Here is a 27393-nt window from a genome sequence, read left to right on the forward strand (position 1 = left end):
TTGGCTTGGCCTAGTGATTTTGAGTGTGCCCAGCTCTAAGCCTCTGTATTCACACTGCCAGAGCCACTTGTATCTTGGGCATCTCTGCTAGACAGGGGAAGAGCTTGGCCTGAAGGGTCAGAAGTTGTTATTTTTGTCCTTTATTCTTCCTCTAATTTCCTAATCTGGTTTTACTGGGGTTTTGCCTTGGAAAGGGCTGCCTATGACAACAGGGCATATGCAATCTATTATTTTTATTGTTTAATATTTAATCTATTATTATTCAACTAGGGTGTAACTCCAGTAACTCCAGTGAGGCCAGTATTTTATCTACTTTTTCAGTGCTGCTCCTAGAACAGACCCTGACATATGGTAGGTGTTCAGTAAATACATATTGAATGAGTGACTGAATCAGAGGTCATTCTTTTTTTTTTTTTTTTTTTTCTCGAGATGGAGTTTTGCTCTTGTCACCCAGGCTGGAGTGCAGTGGTGCGATCTTGGTTCACTGCAACCTCTGCCTCCCGGGTTCAAGTGATTCTCCTGCTTCAGCCTCCCAAGTAGCTGGGATTACAGGTGCCCACCACCATGCCTGACTAATTTTTTTGTATTTTTGGTAGAGACAGGGTTTCGCCATGTCAGCCAGACTGGTCTCTAACTGACCTCAGGTGATCCGCCCCCCTTGGCCTCCCAAAGTCCTGGGATTACAGGCAGGAGCCACCGCGCCCAGCCTCAATTGGAGGTCATTCTTAACCCCTTTTATGTCAGCATACTTTTTCTATTACTTTCGTGGTTCCTCTCAACAACCATTCTTACTTCTGGGATACACCAGGAAACAGCCAAAGGAAAATTCAGTGTTCTGTAGTTCCTCCTTGCCTTAGTTCTAATCCACCTGCACCAACCCATTCCTTGCCCCATCCTCCATCCTGACCTCCGTCTTTGTGGTTTCTGACTCACGCCTCATTCACTGGTTTTCAGCCTTACTTTGCCTGGGCTTGAGTCACTCCCTGTAGTCCTGTTACTCACTGTTCGGGTTCAGGCAAGTTACCTAAATGCTCCATGCCCCAGGTTCCTCATCCACCCAGGAAAAAGCTTAAATAGGAGAAGAGGGGTAAAGGTGGAATATTGGGAAACACTGACATTTAAAGAAAAAGAAATAGCAACATCTTATTTCATTGATTCATGTAAAGGCTGGAGAGTGCTTAGTTTCTGCATATACCATGCAGGCAGGAGATGTGAGCAATGATCACGATTTCACTACTCTTGAGACTTAGTATCATTATTAATTCATCCTTCAGATCTGAAACTTGTCAGCACCATCTTCTTGATGATAACCTTGATTTATTTCAGCTACACTGCAGTTTCTTCCTTCAACCATGCTTCCTTGAGGAAACCCAGGCCCAGACTGCCGCCCTGGGTGAGTTTCCTCTGCGCAATGCCTGTACACTGCTGACCTACCTTCAGAGCAGAAACATAACTCGCTATTGCTAAGTGAGTTGATTCTGTGTTTCTGATTGGGCAATCATGTACCTAGTTTGCTTTCACCCATATCAAGATGCTAAATTTAGGGATTCATTTGCAGCTCAACTTCCAGGCAGTGAGCTTGCTTCCTGTGCTTTAAACTGCTTGGTGACAGCTCTAAAGCCCCCAAACCAACCACTCGTGGTTATCTGGATTGCTGTTAAAATTAGTTTACTTCTGTCAATGACCTTAGAATCTTTGCTGTTTATTTCAACTACGGGTAATTCCTAAAGCAATGAAAAGCATGTCAACCCTCTTTAATAGGAGTAGCATTTTGCTCTGGTTTCATGAGAAAAATGGATTCCATTGTGCTTTTTCTAGGTATGCTTCTCTCAGCAGATGAGTGTGTGTCTCTCAGTGTGTATATTATTAGGGGCTCTTTGGAAAGCATATTGCCAATTTAGGATGTCTACTTCAGGAAAAAGCTAGTGCCAGGATTTGATTTGTATTTTAGGGGACAATCAATCCACCAGGCAGCACTATGGGGAGTGAAGTGGATGATAGTTTAAGACTGGGGCTCCAGAAAGGACTGCAGCTTGAAAGCTGAAGTGGTCATCCAGGCAGAACTCAGGACCCGAACTCAATGCAGTGGCAGGAGTGAGAGAGCGCGGAGAGGTGGATTTGAGGGAATCCACAGAACTTGCCAGAGCCAGCCAGGAAGCAACACCCCAACTCTGTTTTCTATAAGACATCTGGTCACATTGGCATTTTGTGATGCTTAGGAAGCCACAGACTGTTTGGGGATATTTTTGGAGAAAATCTCATATCACCCCACAGCTTTCTGTCATCTCCAGTCTCTGAATCATGCTCTCCTGCCTCCAAAGCCCAAGACATTCCTTTCTACACCAAAAGGGCAGTTTGGTCTCCACCTTCTAACATATGCTATCATTTCCTTAGGGTTATGGTTTATGATGTCTTCTTATGCTACAGTGTAAGCTCCAGAAGGGCAGAGGTCTTTGTTTTATTTTCTAATATACTGAAGATGTTTACAACAGTGCTTGGCTTATAGTAGGTACTAATAAATATTTATTGCAATGGAGTGAACAAAAAAAAAGATTGTTCAATATGTTGCGTGCTGCAGAAAATTCAAGTAGGAAGAGAACTGAGAGAAGACCCCTGATGTTAGCATAGGGAGTTGCTGGTGACTTTAGAGAGAGTAATTTCAGTAGAGTGTGTTGTGGAAGGAAGCCAAAATGAAATGTTATTATTATTGTTATTTTAAATTCACTTTTTGGAAAAGATGATGAGGCATATGGTTTTGGGAGGTAAGGAAATAAGGCCACAAGGTTAGACTCATCTTCTGTATAATATTTTGTTCATTTATTATGTTGGCTGATGGAGGTTGAAATATATTGGCCTTTATTTGGTGAGATGTTGGCTCCAGTGAAAATGTGCCCGGCAATAATCATCTAGATTCTCAAAAGGGTATTCCATTTTGCATAAGAGAAATGGAGACAAAATACAAATGAGCAGGAAGGAAATTTCCAGTTTCATTGGATAAATAAGTCACAGAATATTTTGTTAATATATGTAGACGTAGACATTTAGGGGTCAGGTTTCTTCTAGAAATATTTTAGTGCTTGCTGACATGAAACTGCTCTTTCTTCTTTGCTCCACACCCCCACAGGGCTGTGTTATGTGTCAGGTGTTGTTTGGCATCACTATAAGTCATGTTCCCACTCCTTGGAAAGCACTTCTTCTAGGAGAATTTATGAACAGTGCCAGAGCTGATCTGCATCTCAACTGGTCATTGTTTTTCTTTGTTGTTCTCAGAGGCATGGACAGAGGATTCTCTGAAGTCATCCTGACTGAAACAGCAGATTGATAATTAATTCACTTGTGGCTGGGCAGAGTGGCTCACGCCTGTAATCCCAGCACTTTGGGAGGTCGAGGTGGGTGGATGGATCACTTGAGGCCAGGAGTTCGAGACCAGCCTGGCCAACATGGTGAAACTCTGTCTCAGCAAAAAAATACAAAAAAATTAGCCAGATGTGATGGTGTGCACCTATAGTCCCAGCTACTCGGGAGGCTGAGGCACGAGACTCACTTGAACACAGGATGCAAAGATTGCAGTGAGTGGAGATTGCACCACTGCACTCCAGCCTGGGCAACAGAGCGAGACTCTGTCTCAAAAAACAAAACAAAACAAAAAAGAGAATTAATTCACTTGTGACCAGGGTGTCCCGACCTTACCATCTATACCTACAAAAATTTAAATTTCCTTTTAAATATAAAATTGTGGTAGCTGGTACTTCCTCCTCTTGGTCTGGTGATTGGAGACTGTCCTCTGGCCTATCCGAGGGTCCCCAGGGCCATCTTAAGTGAAAGCAAGATGAGTCCTTTGTGTTCTGCTGCCCCAGGCTCCTTGATGCCCAGGCACATTGCTGTTGGTGACACTTGAGAGGTCACCCCGCTGCTAAGCACAGCTATCTCCTTGGGCACTGCTACTGCTCCCACCACTTTGGCCTGAGGGAAGTGGACATTGTTCTCTGCTATTCAGGCCCCAGAATGGGAAGACCCCCTAGGTTGTCATAACGTAGAATACACCCTGCTGTAACTTTTAGCAAGTATTTACTCCATGTAAAAATAATAGAAAGTTCAACAGTGAGAAGAAGTTAACTAACAGAAGATGTGGCTATCCTTAGTGCTTATGGGCTTAGAACATCATATCTTAGGTTGGATTTCCCAGAAGCTGACTTGGAGGGAAGGAGTGAACAGCAAGTGGTTCACTTGAAGGATGATCCCAGGAAGCATTGGCAAGGGAATGGAGGCCTTCAGGGAAGGAAAGGAAATCTAGATAGGAGACGTCAATCAGAAGATTACCACTGTGGGCAACTGGGGCTCAATCCCACTGGGAACCTGTGAGAAATAGTATAGAGCTTCCCTGACCTATAAGATGGTAGCCACTAGCCACTTGTGACCCCTGAGCATTTGAAATATAGCTAGTAAGAATTGAGTTGCACTCCAAATGTAAAATACACATTGGATTTCTAACAGTATATATATATATATATATATATATATATATATATATATATATATATATATATACTGTTAGAAATTATATATATAATGTAAAACATCTTATTGATTATTTTTTATATTGATTACCACATTGATATAATATTTTAGGTAGACAAGGTTCAACAAATGTATTAATATTAAAATTAATTTCACCTGTTTCATTTTGCTTTTTAAAACTGTGGCTACTAGAAAATGTGAAATTACATATGTGACTCTCAGCATATTCCTAGTGGACAGAGCTGGTATAGAACATCCTCAGAATTGTCCCACCCTGGTACATATCCCAAGATCCAGGTTCCCCACTCAACTCTGCAGCAGGACGTCCACAGTTCAGCCCAGACTCTGCTGAACCAAGCCAAGTCCAGCTACTTTTCCTGCTTTCTCCTCCATGTGAGGTCCACATGTCTGTCCTGTAGCCCAGCAAGGAATCATGTGAACGAGAACACACAACTCCACAATAACAAGGCTTATATACAGGCGCAATACCTGATCCTATATATGAAGTGGGTTAATGTTTTAAATAATTCACTCTGTGTTCTTACCCACCCGCAGCCTGCACACCTCTTCCAGCTTTGTGCTCTCTGATTTTCTTCACTTGCACTCTAATGATCTTCCTCCCAGCCCAGAAAACTCGATATGAGTTATCATTGCTTTAGGGGAAGGATGTCGCTCTTGAAGCAGAGAATTAGCCAAATTTATAGTGTTTAAGTTCAAAAGTCACCAGTGCAGGTATAAGACAGAAACAGCCTGCTGCATAACTGCAAAATTGCAAAGAAAGCTTTGCTCTCCAGACTAAGGAGTCCACAGACTGGGGGATAGGGAGATGCTAAGGACCCCAAGGGCAGAAGGAGAGATAGTTGTCCTCTATGGACTGTAGCCCATAAGCTCTATACTCCTGGAGACCCCCACTGGTCCTGAGGACCTAGATTAGATGTCTCATTTGCCTGTGGTGAACATTGCTCATGGCCTGCAGTCACAGTGATGACTAGCAAGGCCCAAAGACAACCACCTGTTCCCTAGGGCTTTGTTCAGCCCTCTGCCCCTCACACACCACGTGAAAAGTCCCTGCTTCCAACGGTCCAGGGCACTTAGAAGCCCCAGGATTGAAGACTTGGTCTCCTAGAGGGTCTTCATGGAATAGTACCCGGGCAAGATGGGACCAGACAGAACTGGCCCCAAACCTCTCAATAAGTCAAGGCAGTGGTGGACACATTGGGTCACATATTCTCATATTCTTCAGGTAGGAATATGTCTCCAAAGGAGACATCATCTTTGGAAATGTGTCTCTGTCCATAGCTAAACCAATTTCTTACTTTAATGTGCAGAGCCACATCTCTCTTTGAAGCCACATTATTTTATGCCCATCTTCCTCCCATCTCTCTTCCAGTCCATCAACAGGATTCCCTCAACAGAGGAACAGTTTCTTTTTTTTTTTGAGACGGAGTCAAGCTCTGTCACCCAGGCTGGAGTGCAGTGGCACGATCTCGGCTCACTGCAAGCTCCGCCTCCCGGGTTCACGCCATTTTCCTGCCTCAGCCTCCCCAGTAGCTGGGACTACAGGTGCCTGCCACTAAGCCTGGCTAATTTTTTGTATTTTTAGTAGAGATGGGGTTTCACCATGTTAGCCAGGATGGTCTCTATCTCCTGACCTCATGATCTGCCCGCCTTGGCCTCCCAAAGGAACAGTTTCTTAAACATAAATTCGGTTGAAAATTACCAAGTATTAAAAAAAACAGGGTATGATCTCACCTAGTGTCACCTTATAACACATACACCTGGGCTATAAAGTCAGAAAACCAATGGAATGAGTCAGAAATAGTCATCGCAGGAGGCATAAGGCTGCTTGAGCTGGCTTCATAATTACCCACAGAGAGGTGTGTTTGGGTTGCATTCAGAATATACTCTATCTTGTTTTGTTAAAGTGGTTGGACTTAAGTGGATACATTCCAAGAGTTTTCTCAGGCCCTGACATCGATGAAAGAGGAAGATGGAAAGCTGCCCACAGGATTTCTGCAGCATTTGGCTTCCTTAGGCCAATGTAGACATTAAAACATTGCTCTGTCATTGACCCACGACCTCTGTTTTAGCTTCCCTAACACTGGAAACAAGTGTTTAATGCCCTTAGTGACCCAGCAAATATTTCAGAGGGCAGCCTCTTATATTTTATGCTTCCACTGCCAGGTGATTGTGGGCTAATGACAGAAAAGACAAATGGAAAACATCTGGACATTTAAAGGGCAATGATAATAAACTGCTTCTCAGATATTGGAGTCTGAGCACACCATCTGTTGACTAAGGTAAAGATGGTAAATGTTTTTGGGGTGATCCCCAACTACATACCCCTTTTTCTGAACCCTGTATCAGCTGCCACACCTATACAGTGTGACCCTCTTCCCTTCATAGTTGAGTGGACAAGATGTAGACACTGGACCCAAGCTGGACTCACCAGGTTTTCCCTTGTGGAATTGGGAAATGGGCCTCTGAGGTTCTTGAGCAGCATGTTTGGCTCCTGTGCACAGATCTGCAGTGAGAGAGCAGGAAATGGATGCACAGAGGAGAGATGAGGACAGTGCAGCTGGCAGAGCAGCAGCGCGGCAGCCCCTGGCCCCTGGCTGGCCAAGTCTGGCTCTCTCCTGAGGTCTTGTAGTGCCACGTGTTTCCAGGTGCCATGACATATCAACAGTAGCCCTCACCTCTGCTTAAATACCTGTGGGTGTCTGTGAAACGTATGTTCCCTGCCATCCTTTCAGAAGCTCAGTCTGTACAGTGAACACAGGTGGTGTGGCTGGAACCATTTCTAGAAGGGCTCTGCACGTGAGCATCACCACTTTCCTGACGGTGTTCTTTTGTATCTTGAACTGTTCTCCCAGTAAAGATGTCTTCTGGGCCCTGCAGTCCATGTTAAAGAGCCAGGTAGACAGGTCAGCAAAGGACAGAAGAACAGCTTCTTTTTTGTCTGTGGTGGTCTACATTTTAAGGTGTCAATTCAAGTGGGCAAAAGGGAGAGGAGAGCCTGCCTACCTTTCTCTCTTTCTCTGTTTATTCATTCAATGGACTCTTTTTTTTTTTTTTTTTTGAGATGGAGTTTCGTTCTTGTTGCCCAGGCTGGAGTGCAATGGTGTGATCTCAGCTAACTGCAACCTCCACCTCCCGGGTTCAAGCAATTCTCCTGCCTCAGCCTCCCAAGTAGCTGGGATTACAGGCATGCACCACCATGCCCAGCTAATTTTGTATTTTTAGTAGAGACAGGGTTTCTCCATGTTGGTCAGGCTGGTCTCGAACTCCCGACCTCAGGTGATCCACCTGCCTCAGCCTCCCAAAGTGCTGGGATTACAGGCATAAGCCATCGTGCCCGGCCTTTTTTTTTTGGAGACTGAGTTTCACTCTTGTTGCCCAGGCTGCAGTGCAGTGGCATGATCTCAGCTCACTGCAACCTCCACCTCCTGGATTCAAGCGATTCTCCCGCCTCAGCCTCCCAAGTAGCTGGGATTACAGGCACCCAACACCATGCCCGGCTAATTTTGTATTTTTAGTAGAGATGGGGTTTCACCATGTTGGTCAGGCTCATCTCAAACTCCTGTTCTCAGGTGATCCACTGGCCTTGGTCTCCCAAAGTGCTGGGACTACAGGAGTGAGCCACTGCACCCAGCCTCAATTGACTCTTGTTAGGCACTTATCATGTGCTAGGCACTATTTAAGATCCTAAAACTATTGTACCTCATGGAGCTTACATCATAGTGGAGGGAGTCAGACAATAAATAAACATACAGTTAAATAATTTCAGATCACAAACAGCTATGAAGTAAATAAAACAGGAAAGTAAAATAGAGAATGACTGTGTGGTGGCTTCTTTAAGAAGGATGTCAGGAAAGGACATTCTGAGGGGGTGATGCTGAATGGACATAGGAATGAGAGAGAGAGGAGGAGCCGACCACAGAGAAACATGTAGGAGCAGCTTTCTAGAGGGAGTGCCAGCATATTCAAGGGTGCTGGAACCTGTCTCCCTTCTGGCCTCCCTTGCTTCTTTCTTTTCCTTTACCTTTTCTCAAATACTAACTGAGCTGGCACTAAGAGTCAGGAGCTAACTGAAATGGATCAAAAGAAGAATAGAACACAGGCCTTTTTTTCTCTTTTCTTTTTTTGAGATGAGGGCCCCACTATGTTGCCAAGGCTGGTTTTGAACACCTGGCCTCAAGTGATTGGCCTCTTGAGTAGCTCGGATTATAGGCGTGAGCCATCATAACTGGCTAGGACAGAGTTTTTGCCTTGGAGAAATTCACAGAGCAGGGAAGGAGAAAGACAAGTCATTAAAATATAGATGGTTGTACTTAGTAGAAGGAAGCATAAAGTGTTATTGGGAAGACCATGGAAGCATAGACTGCCTGCTGGGTTCTCCTAAACACCTGACCAGCAGCTGGGTCCTCAGAGGAGAAGGCTGAGTCTCTGAAGAATCAGAAAGCTCCATTTCTTTCCAATGTAATGCTCTCTACCTTAGGAGCCTTCAAAAATTCTGCAGAGTGGGGAGCTTCTTTGACCAATCCAGCAAAGCACACACACCAAACACTAATGGGAAAATGGAAAACTGGAATTGATTCAAGTCGCTGAGAAAACAGGAAAGGTGGCTTTTATTTGGAGGACCAGGATGCAGACATAAAATACACACACACACGCACACACACTCTCAGAGGACTGAAGGCAAAAGAAGGAGTTGGCAGTCATCCCTGGAAATGTGTAATCCAAGAACGAAAGTTTACAGAAAAGGAAGAAGCCTTACACAGGGTCACAGTGAACCCCTGGGGATTTATGTAAGTGACTTAGGGTTTAAAGCGAAACTGTGTGTTGACTTAATGGTATGACTCATTTAAATGGAACGGACTTTTAAAAACACATACACGAGGATTAGGTTTTCCATTTATTGTTGTGAGGCCATGTGATACTTAATGACACTGAGGTCCAAAGATACGGAAGCTGCCCATAGAATGCGTCTGTGTAAGAACAAAAGAGAAGCAGGTTGCATCCCTTAAACAGTTGAAAAGGAAATGCTAGGCTCCAGCCACAATACCCTGTGGGCCGTCAGACTAGAGCGGGTGATGAGTGGGTGCTGGATGCTAGGTAAACGGAAGAAGTGACTGCAGTGGTGGGAGGTGTGAATGCCAGCACATAGCTTTGGTTTGTGGTAAACACCAGACAGGGCATGGAAGAGCGTGTTTTAGTTATTCTGTCAGAACAGCATAGATTAGAGGGTGACCAGATGTTCCTCTTGAGGGAACTTGTCACTCTATAAACATTTTGCCCTGAGAAGACTTTGTGGGAGAGGAACAGTTCTTGGCTAGCACTGGTCCCTGTCAGAGTTCCTTCTGTACCTGGTGAATTTGGGAGGAAAAACTGGGAGCGTGGCTCAAAACCTTATGTCCTCCTCCTGGGAGCACTCATGTGCTGTGAGCACAGGCTCTGCTCAGCTCCTCCAGGTAGGCCCTGGCCAGGGTGGAAGCTTTCCCTGGCCCAGCACTCCCATGAAAGGGTTGCGCCTAAAACTCAGGTTCCATTTGCCAAGAGATACAAGCTGGGCCTTCCAACCTAAACTTTATCAATGGTGAATGTGATATTTTGGCCTCTAACCACTTGGTCTTTTATCTTATTCCTCAATAGGTTCAGAAATCAGGGTGGGAAGTGAAATCCTATTACTGAGACTCCAACAGCGTCCTGGGGAGCACCTCAAAGGGTCTTCCAGAGTTGTTGAAATTGGGGTTCAGCCAGAGGCCTGTGTACCTGCCAATCTGGAGAGACAAGTCTTGTATGTCAGGACAAAGGAAACACGTATGGTTTCTGATACAATCCCCACACCAAGAATTACAAGGGCAGACACACTGAATGCCAGGTGTTAATTTATAGTTGAGCCACTTCTCACCTGTGCAGAACTAGCTAGCATGCTCCAGGAGGAGGGTCACCACTCGGGAGAGTATGTCTCTATCCCAGTCATGCAGGGATGCCAGCTAGGTTCTCAAAATACCACTGATTGCCTTAGGGACTGGAATGTGCACAGCAACTAGAACCAAAACCCACCAAATAAACCAACCCAGCACTTTAACTGATGGCATCTAACACATATTTAATAGTTCTTGCTCTGAAAAATGAAACAATAAAGCATAACTTTCTATATAGCATTTTAGAGTTAAAGCACTTTTAGACACATCTACTTTGACCTACGTTACAACCTCAGAGTGTTACTGTGATTTCCATTTACATGAAAGGATGAAAAGAGGAAAAAGGATGGGAAAGAATAGAGGGGGATAGAGAGAGGAAGGCAGGAAGTGAGTTACATCTGGGGGGGCAGATGTCTGGGACCACCATGTGCACCTGTGTATCACAGGTATATGTACTGCACAATCATCTACGGTGGTCTCAGAGATATCTGCCAGGTCAGAAAGAGCATAGAATTGTCAGATTATTGCCGTTTATATCTCTAACCACATCAAATTCCAAAACAACTTATGCTACCGAGTGAGGCAACAATTCTGCCACTCAGCAAAGTCACATTGTCCAGGTCTCGTGTCCAGGTTTTGGGTCCTAAATGTCTTGCTGTGCCAGGACTGGGGCCTTTTCTAGGGTTTTCTGGGGCAGGCATGACCACAGCGGAAGAAAAGTTCTATTTCTTGAGCACCCCCAATGTACCACACCTGCACAGAATAGGAGCATGCATGTTATCCTCTGCAGTTCTCTTCATGACCCGTGTGGTAGGTCTATGGTAGCCTCATTTTATAAATAAAGAATTTGAGCCTCAAAGAGGCTAACTTTCCTACCCAATCCAACTCTGGGGTCAAATGACCTCTGAAATCTCTAGAAGGAACAGGACAAACATTAAGATGAATTAAAGGAGTTGGTGGATGGTCGCAGTGGCTCATGCCTGCCATCCCAGCAATTTGGGAGGTTGAGGTGAGAGGATTCCTTGAGGCCAGGAGTTCAAGACCAGCCTGGGCAATGTAGGAGGATACTGTCTATACAGAAAAAAAATTCACTGGGTGTGGTGGCATGTGCCTGTAGTCTCAGCTACTCCGAAGGCTGAGGTGGGAAGATCACTTGAGCCCAGGAGATTGAGACTGCAGGGAGCTGTAATCACACCACTGCACTCTAGCCTGGGTGACACAGCAAGACCTTATCTCTCTATAAAAAAAGAAAAAGGTAAAAAAAGAAAGGAGTTAGCAGCAAGAAAGGTGAATACTTACTGAAGACAAGGATGAAAGAGTGCCCCTGAGAAAAAGCCACCAAAAGGGGAGTGTCATCCGGGCTGGGAACCCAAAGCAAGCAATCACCCAGATCCTGAGAATGGGATCATTTTTTGCTTTTGTTGTAGTATGGGAAGTGTCCAGTTTTCACAGAATGCAGAATAAAATTACACTCATATATGAGTGTGGTATTTTCTGAGGCAGATTAGCTGAGATAAATCACTTTTTAATTTATCTAAACCTCTACTTTTTACCTTGGGAATTAAAAAAATACACAGAACTAGAAAAATATAACGGAACCCCATGTGCCAATTATTTGCCTCAATAGTGATCAGCATTTGCCACTCTCTCATCATGTGTCTCTCCACATATTTTTTCCCTGGATTATTTTAAACAAATCCCTGTTATCATATCACTTTTACTGTAAATACTTCACTATATATTTCTATGAGAAAAAGATATTTTTAATATAATCATAATGCCATGATCACACTAACGCAAATAACAATAATTTCTTAGTATCATTCAATATCCTATCTATATTAAAATTTGCTATACATGTCTTTTTATAATTGGTTTATTTGAACCAAGATCCAGACAAGGCTTGTACATTGCATTTATGGTTATGTCTCATGTGGAACTTTCCACCTATACCCATTGAATATTTATTGGGCATTGCTAAAACCATTGACCTCAAGACAATCTGGGGTCAAGGGGCTGTGACCTACTCAAGCTAACCAGAATACTACACTGGAGAATCAGACACCTGCAGAGGTTAAGAAGGATGATCAATAGAAAATAATGGATTGTTAAAAATCTAAATATTGCACCCAAACTACTTACTAACTACAAATGGAAAGATAGTTATGTTTACAGTGGAGAACTCAGCAGACACCAGCTTAACCAAGTGATGAATGTAAACATCTCCAGTAATGACACATCAACATTATGAACACTTTGATGTGATGAGAAGAACACAATATCAGTTTTGTGATATTCTTGCCAAAAATGCATAACATGATTCCAATCATAAGAAAACATTCTACAAAATGAAGAGACAATCTACAAAAGAATTGACCAGTACTCTTCGAGGGTGTCAAGTTCATGAAAGACTGAGGAACTGTTCCAGACTGGAGTGGATGAGAAGACATGACAACTAAATGTAATGTGGGGTCCTGGTTAGGATTCTGGAACAGAAAAAGGACATTAGCAGAAAAAGTGGTGGAATTCAAATAAGGCCTGTGGTGTAGTCAATAATACTGTATCAATGTTAGTTTCTCGTTCTTGATCATTATCCTATGGTCATGTAAGATGTTTTCATTAGTGGAACGTGATGAGGGATATATATAACTCTTTGTACTATTTTTGCAACTCTTCTGCAAGTCTCAGACAAGTTCAAAATAAAATTTTTTTACAAAAGCCTGACATGTTCTTTTAATATGCATCCTGGTTTTTGCAAATATAAGGTCAACCACAAATAAGCAGCTCCTCCAGCAAGAACTAAATCTGTATTTTCTTTAAACAACCAGTGAGGGTTTTAGTTCATCTTTCCTCATTGCTGGCTGTCCTGAGGGATGGATCATGATCACTTTCTCCTGATACCACGCATGGCCCCACATCACGCTCGTGGTCACCGTCATCATTGTCATACACACTGGTTTTCTGATAAAAAGCTTTCAGACACAGTTCCCTAATAGGCAGGGTTTCCTAGGTATTTTACTTCCCATTCCTACCCCTTCTATCACTCCTCTCCCAACCCCCAGGCACAGGGCTGGTTCCCCTGCCTTCCAGTCTTTCCCTTTCCTGGGTCCTCAGGTCACTCACTGCCCAGTTCCAATCTGCCCAAGGTCAAGGAGGGTTTGGGAGACAGCAGCCACTGCACTCCAAATGGCAGTGGGTAGTATGAGCACCTGTGTCCAGGCTCCAACAAGGAAAGCCTTCTGATCTGATCTCTGCATCCACTTTCCAGCCAGCAGCATGTGCAGGGGTTTGCAGCAGCCTGGACTCTGAATTGTGCCACCTCAGAGTAAGGGCAGCCCCACTCATCCTTCAGCAGATGGGAAGGAGGGGAGTGGAGGCCTAAGGAGCAAGGTTGGTTTGTAGCTGAGGACAATTCTGGCAGGGGGAAATCCATTTTCATTCCAACCCTGGATTGTGGTATTACTGTGTCTCTGCTTCCATCTTCAAGTAGCTCCTAGCTGTTGCATCCTGGCTGTGCTCCCCATGGCCTACCCACTCTTTGAGGGGGAGGCTAGGAGGTATGCAGAGGCTGTGATTGTGAGAAAAGCCTGGGACAGTACATGAGCTCATTCCGGATGGGGAGAGAGACTATAATCTTTTCTCAATAAAGTTTTGTTGCATGAATGAATGAGTGGTGAAAGAAGGCAGTTCCATTTAGTCAGTCTTCCTAAATCAGTTTTTCCAAATCCATGGGCTTTTTGACGTACTCAAACTCCCCGTTTGCTACAGTTTGGGAAGTGGCCCGGGGATGCCGAGAGAGAGAGAGAGAGAGAGAGAGAGAGAGAGAGAGAGAAAGAGAGGTCTGTTTTTTAAAGAGCCTTTGCAGTCCCTGGGTTTTCAGAGGGATGTTCCATGAAGAAACTGGCCAAGCAGGGCCAACACTTGTCTTTCCTTTAGAGTGTCTAACTCTTGGTGTTTGCTGCCAGAACTGTTGTTGTTTTGAAGACCTCAAAATGTACAATTCTTATTATTCATTCAGTCAATATTCAAATCAATATTTATTGAGCTCCTTCTGTGTGCCAGGCCATGTGATGGTGAGCAAGCCAGGATACAACGGTGAGAAAGCTGGGTCTTGTTTTTCCCAGGAATGAGCTGTCCCACGGTTGCACACTGGATCTTTGGCCAGATCAAGCTCAGGCCAGTCCTCTGCATTGGCCTGAACTTGATCCCAGCAATCTGGGGATGAGAGAGGGTCTCTCTGCCCTTTCTCATGGGAGTGGCTCACCTCCCCTTGCACCTCAGCCCAGAAATTGCATCTGAGCCTCAGAATTTTATGTTTTTTTCCCCTGAAACCCTGAAAACCAGTCCCATGTCCTCTCAGAGAAGCCCTCAAGATTTCTCTGGATTTGGTAACATGCTGACTGGGATTCTAGCCAGAGGATTCTCATTCTTGGACCTGGATTTTAGACTCATTTTGGACAATTGGCAAATGGGCACGTGTTATGCTGCTTTAATGCAAAGAGCAAACAATATCGATGTTTATAAAATCCTAAAGGAAAAACTCCAAGATATGTGAGCATCCCAGGGTGAGGGGAACTGGGAAGCCTGGTTCCTTGTGGTTTCGCCAACCCCATGGGATTGCCTTTGTCTTCCTGGCTGAAGCTGCTTTACCAGGACCAGGTCTGGGTTTCTGCATATTGGGAGATAGGAAATGAGAGGAAGGGCATGTGGCTTCTGTTTTAAGGATGTGTCCTATAAACTGTTCATGTCATTTCCGTTCACATCTCATTGGCTAGAACTTACTCCTGTGACTATAAATTAGCTTTAAGGGAGGCTGGGAAATGTAGTCTTCAGCTGAGTGGCCAAGTGCATGGTAAAATTTCAAGAACCTATTACTAAAAGGAAGAAGGGGAGAGTGGATATAGCTGGACAATGACCAATTTTGATCACACACTCCTTTAGCCCCTTTTCACATGGCCCAGACTGTTGTGTCCTTACATTATTGGCCTTCAGACCTCATACCTCATTCCCATGTTCCCTGACCTGGTGGCTCTCTCTGGAGTCCTAGACCTGGGCTACTTTGGATTGTTCCTTTTTTTCCCTCTCCCTCTAACTCCTTGTAAGTAACTTGCTTAGGGAGGGGCCCTTCTGAGGGGAGGGGGTGTCACCAAAAGAGAAATAAGATGTTGACAGCCAAGGCCAGGGACATCAAGGCCAGACCCACTTACTCTATAGATCTCTGCAGGCCCCCTCTTTACTTCAGCTGAGTGTGGATGAATAAAACCAAGCATGGTGACGCTGCTGAGACACTTCAGGTCTCATGGTCAGGAGGGACAGCATCTGTGGATGAGCACTTGAGGGAGGGTCTAAGTATACGCTGGCATCTCTGCCCACCAGGAACCATGATTTCATCTTCCTCATCTTTTTCCTCTTCCTGCTTCACTTCCTCACCTGCAGCCTCTCCAACATCACTGTAATCATTACAACTGTTAGAACTGTACCATTGAGCACCACCAGGGCCAGATATCCCACATGCATCTTCTGTTTTTAGCCCCGACTCCAATCCCAGGAGGTAGGTATTATTGTCTCTATCTTTTGAGAAACTGAAGCACAGAATGGTAAGGACCTACTTCATACTGTTGTTGTAAGGATTAAATGGGATAATTCACATAAAAACATCTGGCTCAGTGCCTGGCAAACAGAAAGTACTCAATAACTATATTAGCCTTTATTGCTGTAACAGAGAAGAAAACCAAGGTTTAGAGAGGAATGGAGATTTGTCAGTGTTGGCTCCAGAATTCACATAGAGGAGGGGTTTATCGTGGTGACGGGGTGGTGGGGGCACTGCTCAGGGAATTGCCTTGATGCTGTGTTTGCATGAAAAGCACACATATTAACTTAGATTGTGATAAAAAATACCAAAAAATTCTCATATGGTTATATTTATACTTTACATAAGTGTGAGAACTGTCCATCACGATAATGATTATTATCATCACTTGGGACAGCTTGGGAACTCATGGAGGTCACAGCTGTTTAACATCCCTCCAAGCTTCCCTTTGGTGCTACCACAGTAATGGGCCAAGCAAGTAAATGACAGAGCCAGGATTTGAGAGCAGCTCTGATTCTAGGTCCCACATCTTCATTGCTACCCAGTACGGTCTCTGTGAGCTGGCAGAAAACTTGGCTAACCAGAGGTTTGCTTTTCCCTCCCACCTGAGGAGCTGGGGGTTGCTGTGCTCCCTAAGCTTCTGTGAAAGCTCTGTACCTACCCAACAGCTTCTCTTCACTTGCCTGTGACTCTCCGTGGGGCCTTCGTTATTTTATTTTATTTTATTTTTTTGAGACAGAATCTCGCTCTGTCACCCAGGCTGGAGTGCAGTGGCGCGATCTTGGCTTACTGCAACGTCTGCCTCCAGGGTTCAAGCGATTCCTCTACCTCAGCCTCCCAAGTAGCTGGGACTACAGGCACGCACCACCACGCCTGGCTAATTTTTTGTATTTTAGTAGAGACGGGGTTTCACCATGTTGGCCAGGATGGTCTTGCTCTTCTGACCATATGATCTGCCCACCTCAGCCTCCCAAAGTGCTGGAATTACAGGCATGAACTACCGCACCTGGCCCATTGTTAATATTTTTACAAGCAAAACTGAGGCACAGAAACCCAAAAGGTAGATTTCTCTTTCTTGCATTTTCTGAGCAGCAGAGACTTTTTAGTAGGTAAGTACAATTAAGTCGAGCCGGATCTCTTCACTCTGCTCCAGATTGTTCTGGAAACCTGTCTCCCAGCATTAGGGCAGCTCTCCAGTCAGCCCAGCAGGCTTGCTAGGTGTGACAGAGTCCACCTAATCAGAACTTTTTTTTTCTTGTTTTTACCTCCAGTAGGAAGAAATCAGAACTTTCATCCTCCCCTGGAAGGGCCCAAGGTGCTGTCATAGTCTCCTGACAGACAGCAGTAATTGTACAGCCTTCCTGGCTTTCCCCCCAAGGAGTCCTATTGGTTTTGACAGTTTCTGGATAACTGTGGTGACAGGCAGCAAGATTGGAATTTTACAAAGGTTTCTCAAATCTGTTTGAAGAGAATATCAGGATACCAGTTTGTAAAAGCCTGTCTCTGATCCTGACCACAGGTAAGAGTAACTCTTAGTTAGCTCCAAATGAGAATCTGAGCCCGCCCCATCTCTGGGGAGACAGCTGGCTGGCTTCATTCTCTCCCTCACTGATGGGTCTATTCATCTCTGGGTCACCAAATATTTACTGAGCACCAACTATGTGTCAAACATCATACTTAGCACTGGGGATGCAGTGACCTACTTGGCTCCTAACTCTAGGAGCTCACTGTCCTCTATAAAGGACATAGATGTATAATGAGACAACTACTATATGGCTTGGTGCAATCTCGGCTCACTGCAACCTCCGCCTCCCGGATTCAAGTGATCCACCTGCCTCAGCCTCCCAACTAACTGAGATTACAAGTGTGCACCACCATGGCCGACTGCTTTTTGCATTTTTAGTAGAGACAGGGTTTCGCCATGTTGCTAGGCTGGTCTCGAACTCCTGACCTCAAGTGATCCACCTGCCTTGGCCTCCCAAAGTGCTGAGATTACAGGCATGAGCCACTGTGCCTGGCCTGTATTTTCTTTATATTGGACCCAGGTATGTGCATTTGTTCATTTGTCCATTTTTGCAGTTTTAAAACATCCTGAGCACTTACCATTTCCTGTGTTAGTTCTTGTGCTAGATACCAGGATCTTGTGCTAGAAAAGGCTGTTTCTGCCCTCAGCCTCTACTGTCTAGTGGGAGAGCAGCCTGGCACAAGCAACCAGAAGGTAGCGTGGCCGACAGGTGCTGCTACTGCCAACTGGGAGGGCAATTGCATGTGTGCACTTGACTGGGCCATGGGGTGCCCAGATACTTGATTAAGGTGATTTTGTGTGTGTCTATGAGGGTGTTTCTGGTTAAGATCACCTGTGAATGAGTGGACTGAGGAAAACAGAGCCCTCCCACTCCCAGTGTGAGTGGACTTTATTGTCTGTTGAAGGCCTGAATAGACTGAGAGGCTGAGTAAGGATGGATTTTCTTTCTCTGCCTGGCTGCCTTTGGGCTGAGACATTGGTCTTCCTCTGCAATCAGATTTGAACTGGAACTTACACCATCATCTCTCCTGGATCTGCAGTGTGTTGACGGCAGATCTGGGACTTGTCAACCTCTATAATCCCATGAGCCAATTCCTTATATTAAGTCATATATATTGCATATATAGTAATTCATATATATGAGATATATATTTTTTCTATTGGTTCTGGTTCTGTTTCTCTGGAGAACTCAGAGTAATACACTAAGCAATGGTGGGAGTCCGTGGGAGCCCTGAAATGTCTTGCGAATTGAACAAGAGTGCACTTGCAAATTCTTTACGCATTTGAAGCCTAGACTAGGGCAATGAGGACTGAGTAAGACTGCAGAAGGGTCTAGCTGGCCTCCTCCCCACCCCTCTCCTCTCTCCTCCTCTGTCCTCTGCTTCCCTCCCTTCCTTTCTCCTTCCCTCCTCTCCCCTCACTTCCCCTCGCTTCCCTTCCCTTGTCCTCCCCTCCCCATTGCCGTTCCTCCCTTTCTTCTCCCTTTCTCTCCCCTTGCCTTCCATGCCTACTGTAGGCTCTCATTATTCTTAGATTCTTTCTTTTCCCCTGAAACACCTGCTACCAGGTAAGGGTCAGATGAACGTATTTCACACTAAGATATAAATAACTAATTAGAGTGTTGCTACCCATACCTCAACCCTAGAGCTTGGTGATTTTTTTTTTTTCCAAAAAGGGAACAATCCCTTAGCTAAAGAGCCGCTGCTCCAGGGGAGGAAACGTAGGCTTGGGCCCAGAGATAGGTGGCAGCAGGGGTTTCTGGCCACGAAGCCTTCAGGCCTTCCCAGGTCCCAGCGTGTGTGGATCTTAAAACACCCCCTGCCAAGGGCTTTGATTCCAATTTTGGTTTCAGCTAATTGGTTTCAGCTGAGGTGGGAGAGGCCACGCCTCAGGATCTGCCTAGGCCAGGACTGGGAATGGGTCTCCCAGGTGACTCCGCGGGCCCATAGGCAGGCAGATCCTGGGAAGACGCCCTTTACTCAGTAAGGAGGGCCCAGGCGTCCAAAGCCCACCAGGGGGCAGCGGCGGCATTCTTAGCCCCACTTCTCCGCGCTCAAAGGCCGGCTGAGAAAACGCGAGTGACTACCCGAGGGCGCTGTTACTCCACAATTTTTCTGCAAAAGCTAAGGTCGGCAAACATGGATATTCGGATTTCCATTGTTTTTGAGGCTAAATCAAAAGATGCCTCTGGGGAAAAGGGGCAACATGCACTGTCGGATCGGCATTCATATGGAAAAACAGAGGTAGGAAACATTTTATACATTTTGAAGATACTTTGATGTGCAGTAATTTTGAAACTTTCGTAGGGCACCTGTTTTTCAATGGGCGGTGTAGAGTAATGCTGCCAAACACAGAGTTTGAGCCCTAGTACCACACCCACTAGCGGTGTGACTTTTCCTGGTGACTGAGTCTCTCTGGGCCTCAGTTTTGCATAGGGGACTTGTTCCGCCCCTCCTTGTCCTAGGTGTAAATGCTGCGTTGGTGTTGCACTCATAGGCTCACCTGGCCAAGGACCAGCTTCTGTCTATATTACTCTCAAACTTGCCACTTGGAGCATATTTCATTCTCATCCCCTTTGCCTTCACACTGCTATTCACCCCAGTTCAGAAGGGCAGAGCAATGGCCAAAATGTAAGACTGGGGTTGGGACTGTGAGAAGAAAGGAACAATTGCCAGTTAGCAAATTATTATAATGGCCACGTGGGCTCCAGGGCTGACATAATGAGGAGCTTGGTATGTGTGGTAATTACACACACTTGAGTTGAGTCTTAGGAAAACATATAAAAGAAACGTTATTTTCTTTTTTTCTAAAGGCTATGAAGGTAAGAAGCATTCCATAAGCAATTATTATGCAGCACTATTTCAAGGGTTGGGCTCTGTCAATGAGTTTTAACCACTAAAGAAAAGGAATTCTAATTGGGGGCGAAGGTAGTTTTAGGAATGGCAGCTTCGGAGTTTTGTACTGACAGGTGCTGGTGAAAAGCTGATTAATCCCATTCAATACTATAATAGGCTACATTTGTATAGCACTGCATAGAGTACCAAGTACTTTTATATAAATCCTCTCATTTGATGTTCCCAACCACCCTTTGAGATATGAAGAGGACAAAGAGAATTATTGCTGTCATTTTAAAAACCAGCTTTATTGAGATATAATTCATATACCAAACACTTCACCCATTTAAAATGTGCAATTCAATGATTTTATGCACGTTCACAGATATATGCAACGATAACCACATCAATTTTCATCACCACAAAAAGAACCCTCTACCCTTAGTTATCACTCCCTTTTCCTCCCTCTCCTCCCTCCTTGCACCCTCCCCTCCAAAGCAATCACTATTCTATTTTCTGTCTCTACAGATTTACTTATCCTGGACATTTCATATAATATGTGGTCTTTTGTGACTGGCTTCTTTCACTTAGCATAATGTTTTCAAGGTTTATTCATGTTGAAGCATGTTCAGTACTTCATTCCTTTTTACACCTGAATAATATCCCGTTGTATGGATATTTTTGTTCATCTCTTCATCAGTTGGCATCCATTTCATTTATCCATTCATTAGTTGGTATACACGGGTTGTTTGCACCCTTTGGTTATTTTAAATAATTGCTGTAAACATTCATGTACAAGCCTTGGTGGGGGCATATGCTTTCATTTCTCTTAGGTATATTCCAGGGAGTGGAATTGCTGGATCATATGGTAACTCAATGTGTAGGTGTTTGAGGAACTGCCAGAGTGTTTTCCACAGTGGCTACATTTGACATTCTCATTAGGAGGGTATGATTTCTCCACCTCCTTACCAATGTTTGCTATTACCTGACTCTGATTCTAGCCATTCTAGTGGGTATGACGTGATATCTCATTGTGATTTTGATGTGCACATCCCCGATGACTGATGATGTCAAACATCTTTCTCATGTGGCTGTTGGCCATTTGTATATCTTCTTTGGAAAAATGTCTCTGATCCTTTGCCTGTTTTCAAACTGTCTTTTCTATTATCAAGCTGTAAGAGTTCATTATGTATTTTAGATAGAAGTCCCTTATCAGATATATAATTTGCAAATGTTTTCTCTGGTTCAGTGGGTTATCTTTTCAGTTGTTTGTTTTTTAAGAGATGGGATCTCACTTTGTCACCCAGGCTGGAGTGCAATGGTGAGATCATAGCTTACTGCAGCCTCGAACTCCTGGGCTCAAGGGATCCTCCTGCCTCACCCTCCCGAGAAGCTGAGACTATAGGTGTGCACTACCGTGCCTGTCTTTCCTTTTCTTGACAGTGTCTTTTGAAGCACAAGTTTTAAATTTTGATGTTGTTCAATTTAGTTTTTCTTTTGTTGCTTGTGCTTTTGGTGTCATATGTAAGTGGCAATTCTGAGGTTATGAAAATTTATCACTAAGTTTTCTTCTGAGTTTTATATTTTAGCTCTTATATTTAGGTCTTTGATTCATTTTGAGTTACTTTTTGTATATGGTGTGAAGAAAGGATCCAACTTCATTCATTCTTTTGCTGGATATGTGGGTATCCAGTTGTCCCAGCAGCAGTTGAGAAGACTGTCCTTTCCCCTCTGAATAGTCGTGGTACCCTTGTTGAAAATCAGTTGACCATAGAGACATGGACTTATTTCTGGACTTTCAATTCTATTCCATTCATCTATATGTTTATCTTTACGCCAGTACTGCATGGTCTTGATTACTGTTGCTTTTAAAGTTTTGAAATTGGGAGTGCGAGTCCCCCAAGCTTATTCTTCTTTTCAATATTGTTTTGGCTATTTGAGGCCCCTTGTAATTCCATGTGAAATTTAGAATCAGCCTGTCAGTTTCTACAAAGCAGCCAGCTGGGATTCTAATTGGGCTTGCATTTAATCGGTTTATCAACTTGAGGAGTGTTGTCATCCTAACAATATTAAGTCTTCTAATACATGAACATAAGCAGTTTTTCCATCTATTTAGATATTTAACTTCTTTCAACAATGTTTTGTAATTATCGGAGAATAAGTTTTGGACTTTTACTAAATTTATTGCTAAGTGTTTTATTCTTTCGGATGCAATTATAAATGGAATTGTTTTCTTAATCTTATTTTTGGATTTGTTCACTGCAAATGTGTAGAAACACAATTTTTAATATATTGATCTTTTATCTTAAAATCTTGCTGAATTCTTTTTTTTTTTTTTTGAGATGAGGTCTCACTCTGTCACCCAGATTGGAGTGCAGTGGTGTGATCTCGGCTCACTGCAACCTCTGCCTCTTGGGCTGAAGCCATCCTCCCACCTCAGCCCCCCAAATAGCTTGGACCACAGGCGTGCGCCATCATGCCAGGCTAATTTTTTGTATTTTTAGTAGAGATGGGGTTTCACTATGTTGCCCAGGCTGGTCTCGAAACCTGAGCTCAGATGATCCGCTCACCTCGGCCTCCCAAAGTGCTGGGATTATAGGCGTGAGCCACCGTGCCCAGCCTCATTTATTAATTTTAATATATTTTTAGTGGATTTCTTAGGATTTTCCATATAGACAAGCATGTTAAATAGAGATAGTTTTACCTCTTCCTCTCTGATCTGGATGCCTACAATTTAGCCTTTACCTCCAAGGAATCTACCAATTTCCTCTCTATTGCCTTTCACCACAACCACAACTGTTTTTGAGAGCACACTTAGACTTGAACTTCACACTCTGTTGCAAATGAAGTCAGTTCTCTAGGGAGGGATTCAGAGCTCTTCCTTCCACGGCCTGATTGTGCCCCTGGGGAAAATCTCTGAGCCATCCTCTGCGGGATTGAGGGCAGGGAAAATATGGTTCACTTCTCTCTGAATGACAACCTTGTTTTTGTTTCTCAGTGCCAGGTAGAGAGGAGGCAACAGACTCAGGTCTTTTTGGTTTGCTTCTCTGGGTTAGAACTCCTGCCCCATGAGCCAAGGCAAGGACATTCAGGCTCCCTGTATCATATTGGTACCATGCTCTCAGAGTGGAGCCTCTGTCCCCTGAGAGTTCGGGCTTGGAGGAAGAAAAGAGACCCTCCTGGCAACACTCACCCAGAACTTAGTCTCAGCATTAGGTCATGAGTGGGAATGGCAGGATAAGCAATGCTGACATCCTGTCTCTCCCCAGGAAGACTGACTTTCAATTAGGATCTGTGGAGAAAAGGAGCCTTGTGTTCTTAGCTCTACCCTAAGGTGTGGAGCTTCTGCCTCACTGAGCTGTGAGCGGGGAGGAAGGGTGTGGGTCTTGGGTCAAAATCACTGATTCACTGATCTTACCAAGTTTTAATAGATTTTCTTGAATAAATGTTTCTTCATTTGCTATGTACATTTATGACCATTTCCAGAGACTTTAAATATTTATTTATTTTTATTATTATACTTTAAGTTCTGGGGTACATGTGCAGAATGTGCAGGTTTGTTACATAGGTATACGTGTGCCATGGTGGTTTGCTGCACCCATCAACCTGTCATCTACATTGGGTCTTTCTCCTAATGCTGTCCTTCCCCCACCCCCCGACCCAACAGGCCCTGGTATGTGATGTTCCCCTCCCTGTGTCCATGTGTTTTCATTGTTCAACTTCCACTTATGTGTGAGAACATGTGGTGTTTGGTTTTCTGTTTTTGTGTTAGTTTGTTGAGAATGATGGTTTCCAGCTTCATCCATGTCCCTGCAAAGGACATGAATTCATCCTGTTTTATGGCCACATAGTATTCCATGGTGTGTATGTGCCACATTTTCTTTATCTAGTCTATCATTGATGGGCATTTGGGTTGGTTCCAAGTCTTTGCTATTGTGAATAGTGCCGCGATAAGCATATGTGTGCATGTGTCTTTATAGTAGAATGATTTATAATTCTTTGGGTATATACCCAGTAATGGGATGGCTGGGTCAAATGGTATTTCTAGTTCTAGATCCTTGAGGAATTGCCAGTTTCACTTGGGAGTGAATCCATAGACCTCTTCATGCTACCATATTGAAGCTGTAACCCTTACTACTGTCATTTAGTAGATGCTGTGATTTGAATGTGTTCCCCAAAGGTTTAAGCATTGGAAACTTAATCATTAAAACAACAGTGTTTGGAAGTGAGGCCTAAGAAGAAGTGATTGGGTCATGAGGGTGGTGCCTTCACAAATGCATTAATGTCATTGTCATGGGAGTGGGTTAGTTATCATGGGAATGGGTAGTTATAAGGTAAGCCTGATCCCTAGTGCCTCTGTCTTGTGCACTTGCTTCCGCCTTCCACCATGGGATGAACCTTGTTAGATGCTGGTACCATGCTCTAGGACTTCCCAGATCCAGAATCATGAGCCAAATAAACTTCTATTGTTTATCATTTACCCAGTGTGTGGTATTCTGTTATAAGCCACAGAAAATGAACTAAAACACTAGATGAGGGCAATGTTCATCTATTTGGGAGACTAGGGGTAGTAGAGGGGAAACGAAAGTCACCCAGAATCAGAATATAGTACAAAGGCCTACTAAAAGATTCCAGGGTGGGAAAGGAATACCTTGGTATGGATGTTAAGTATATCAGATGTTAGTGGATAGAAGGACCACTCCTGCACATGGTCCTTCAAATGCTACTTGAACACCCCAGGAAAGGGGAATTCACTACTATTAGTTTAGACTGACTATTATCCCCATAAGCAATATGACCAAGTAAAACCAAAACAGCTGTGCCTGCCAAGATGAGCAGGATGTACAAACAAAAGGAAACAGAAAAGAGGTACTTCAGGATCCTAAACAACTTTATGTTACCAGAAGGTCATGGGCATGCTACAAAAAGGCAACTAGCTGTTTTGGGATACCAGGTGCCCAAGAGACTGCTCTAATTTTAGAAATAACACAGTGCTTACTAAAGAGGTCCAGGACTCATGGGTCTGGAATGCAACGTTCTTCCACCCTCAGGCCGTGCATACTCATGTTCTGGTGTTGATTCTGCTCCAATTATTTTCTGATGTTGAGGGAGGGAGGACCAGACCACAGAACTGGCATGTGCCTAAGGAATCTGCCAAGAGTTATTAAATGATAACTGAAATAATAAATTATTTAAATTTACAGAGACTTGTAAATTTACAGAGTTGGTTATGACCACTGTCTGATAGGCTAAGAGCTCATTTTCACAGTGGCCTTGTGCTGATATCCTCTGACTCTCCAGATCCATCCTCTGCCCTTCTCTGCCAGTTCTCTGCCCTAGAACGCTGACCTCCTAGGCTGGAGGCATCCCCTGAGCCCCCAACTGCATCTTGTGGTTGTGTTCAGCCAATGGGGAGCACCAGCAGATCAGAGTTAGGAGAGAAAGAGGTTAAGGTACTTCTTCTCTGCTCTCTGGCTGGGTCTGTGGCCCTGCCTTCTCTGTCTTATATTTTGCAGCACAATTTTCTGTCCTTGTCCTGCTGGGCCTAGGAGTGCTGCTGACATCTGTTTTCCGGGTGTCTTACCACCCCTTGTTTTTACCCTTAACACCCATACTTCTGAAACAGACCTTCATTAAGGTCATCTCTTTATTTGAACCAAGTGGGAATGAATTATATTTCCTAACAGACTCCTTGATACTATTATATCTTGCCCTGCTAACAACATTCCTTCTGTCTCTCCCAATTATTATCAAGCCTGGAAAGAAGCAAACCCCATGTTACTGTCTTAGCATTAACTCTAGGGGACCTCATACCCTCATCTGGGTCCCCTGTAAACAAAATGATGACTTTGCTCACATCCTTCCCTGGAATTTTAAGCCTCTGTGGCCCTGTGAATCAGTATTTATTCCACTAGCTCCTTTTACACAGCTAGACTGTTGCTTGAAATCAGAACTTGTTTGGTTCCTGAGCTTTTCCTCCATCAATGTGAAATATGCAGTCTTTGTACCCTGGTGGGATAGAGGCACATTCAACCTATAGCATATAGGGTCCTAGTTTAATTTTGAATGGTCATCCTCTGAGTTCTTACCTCAAAGCCTTAGCTAATAAATAAGCTTTCTTGTCCATGAGCAGGAATTTAAAGTTCCTGCTTTTAAAGTGCTTTTAAAGTGAGAAATGGGGAGATGCCAAAGGGCAGAAAGTTTCAGTTTTCAAGATAGAAAAATGCTGGAGATCAAATGTATTGCAATGTGATTATAGTTAACAATATTCTATTACATACTTGAAATTTGCTAAAAGGAAAGATTTTAAATATTTATCACCAAAAAAAAAGAAAAAAAAAGAAAGTGATAACTCTGTTAGGTGAAGGCTATGTTAATTGACTTGACTGTGATTATTTCACAATGTCTTTCTAAGCATCAAGTTGTACACCTTAAATATATACCATTTTTATTTGTCAATTAGACTTCAATAAAGTTGGGGCAGCAAGCTACCTCCTTAGGCCTGTGTTAATTCACTCAAGCTCTTTCTCAGTATTCATAGCCAAAATGACTAAACTTTCCATTTATAAATAGAGGGGGCCTCCCAAGACCTAGAGACCCATCATTGCTTTTAGGCATTCATGTCACACGCCAGCTCAGGCAATATTTTACCAAGTTCATACTTGTTTGAATCTTTTATTTATTTATAGTGACAGTAATATATTTGGCACTTACCCGTCCTCCTAAAAGCCTGATAACCCCAGTTATCTTGTGCTATAAGTGGCCTAGCTTTCACTAACTTAGAAATGAGGGTTTGGAGGGGGAAGGGAGACAGGGAACATTCCGATTAGCCAACAGTTTCCTAATGCAAGTATGTCTGTGGCACAGCCATGTCAGCTACCAGGGAAACCTGTGAATTCACCACGGAAGCCGTCAGGCCAGCTTAGAGGCATCCGTGATGAAAATCCCGAGTTATTTCTGGAGTAGGTGATTGACGTTTCAAATAGAAGATGACATTTT

General features: G+C 43.9%; 2 annotated features.

The window, feature by feature from the left end:
* Positions 509 to 1708: an enhancer, noted in NCBI's record as "CDK7 strongly-dependent group 2 enhancer chr1:85754924-85756123 (GRCh37/hg19 assembly coordinates)". NCBI's record gives its function as "activates an origin of replication core promoter dependent on BRD2, BRD4, P300/CBP, MED14 and CDK7 cofactors, with strong dependence on CDK7, by STARR-seq in HCT116 cells {active_cell/tissue: HCT116}" and the evidence as "EXISTENCE:reporter gene assay evidence [ECO:0000049][PMID:35650434]".
* Positions 19454 to 19954: an enhancer, noted in NCBI's record as "H3K4me1 hESC enhancer chr1:85773869-85774369 (GRCh37/hg19 assembly coordinates)". NCBI's record gives its function as "activates a minimal SCP1, AML or CMV promoter by ChIP-STARR-seq in primed H9 embryonic stem cells {active_cell/tissue: H9 hESC(primed)}" and the evidence as "EXISTENCE:reporter gene assay evidence [ECO:0000049][PMID:30033119]".

The sequence above is a fragment of the Homo sapiens genome, chromosome 1, assembly GCF_000001405.40.
Source record: "Homo sapiens chromosome 1, GRCh38.p14 Primary Assembly".
NCBI classification, from domain to species: Eukaryota; Metazoa; Chordata; class Mammalia; order Primates; family Hominidae; genus Homo; species Homo sapiens.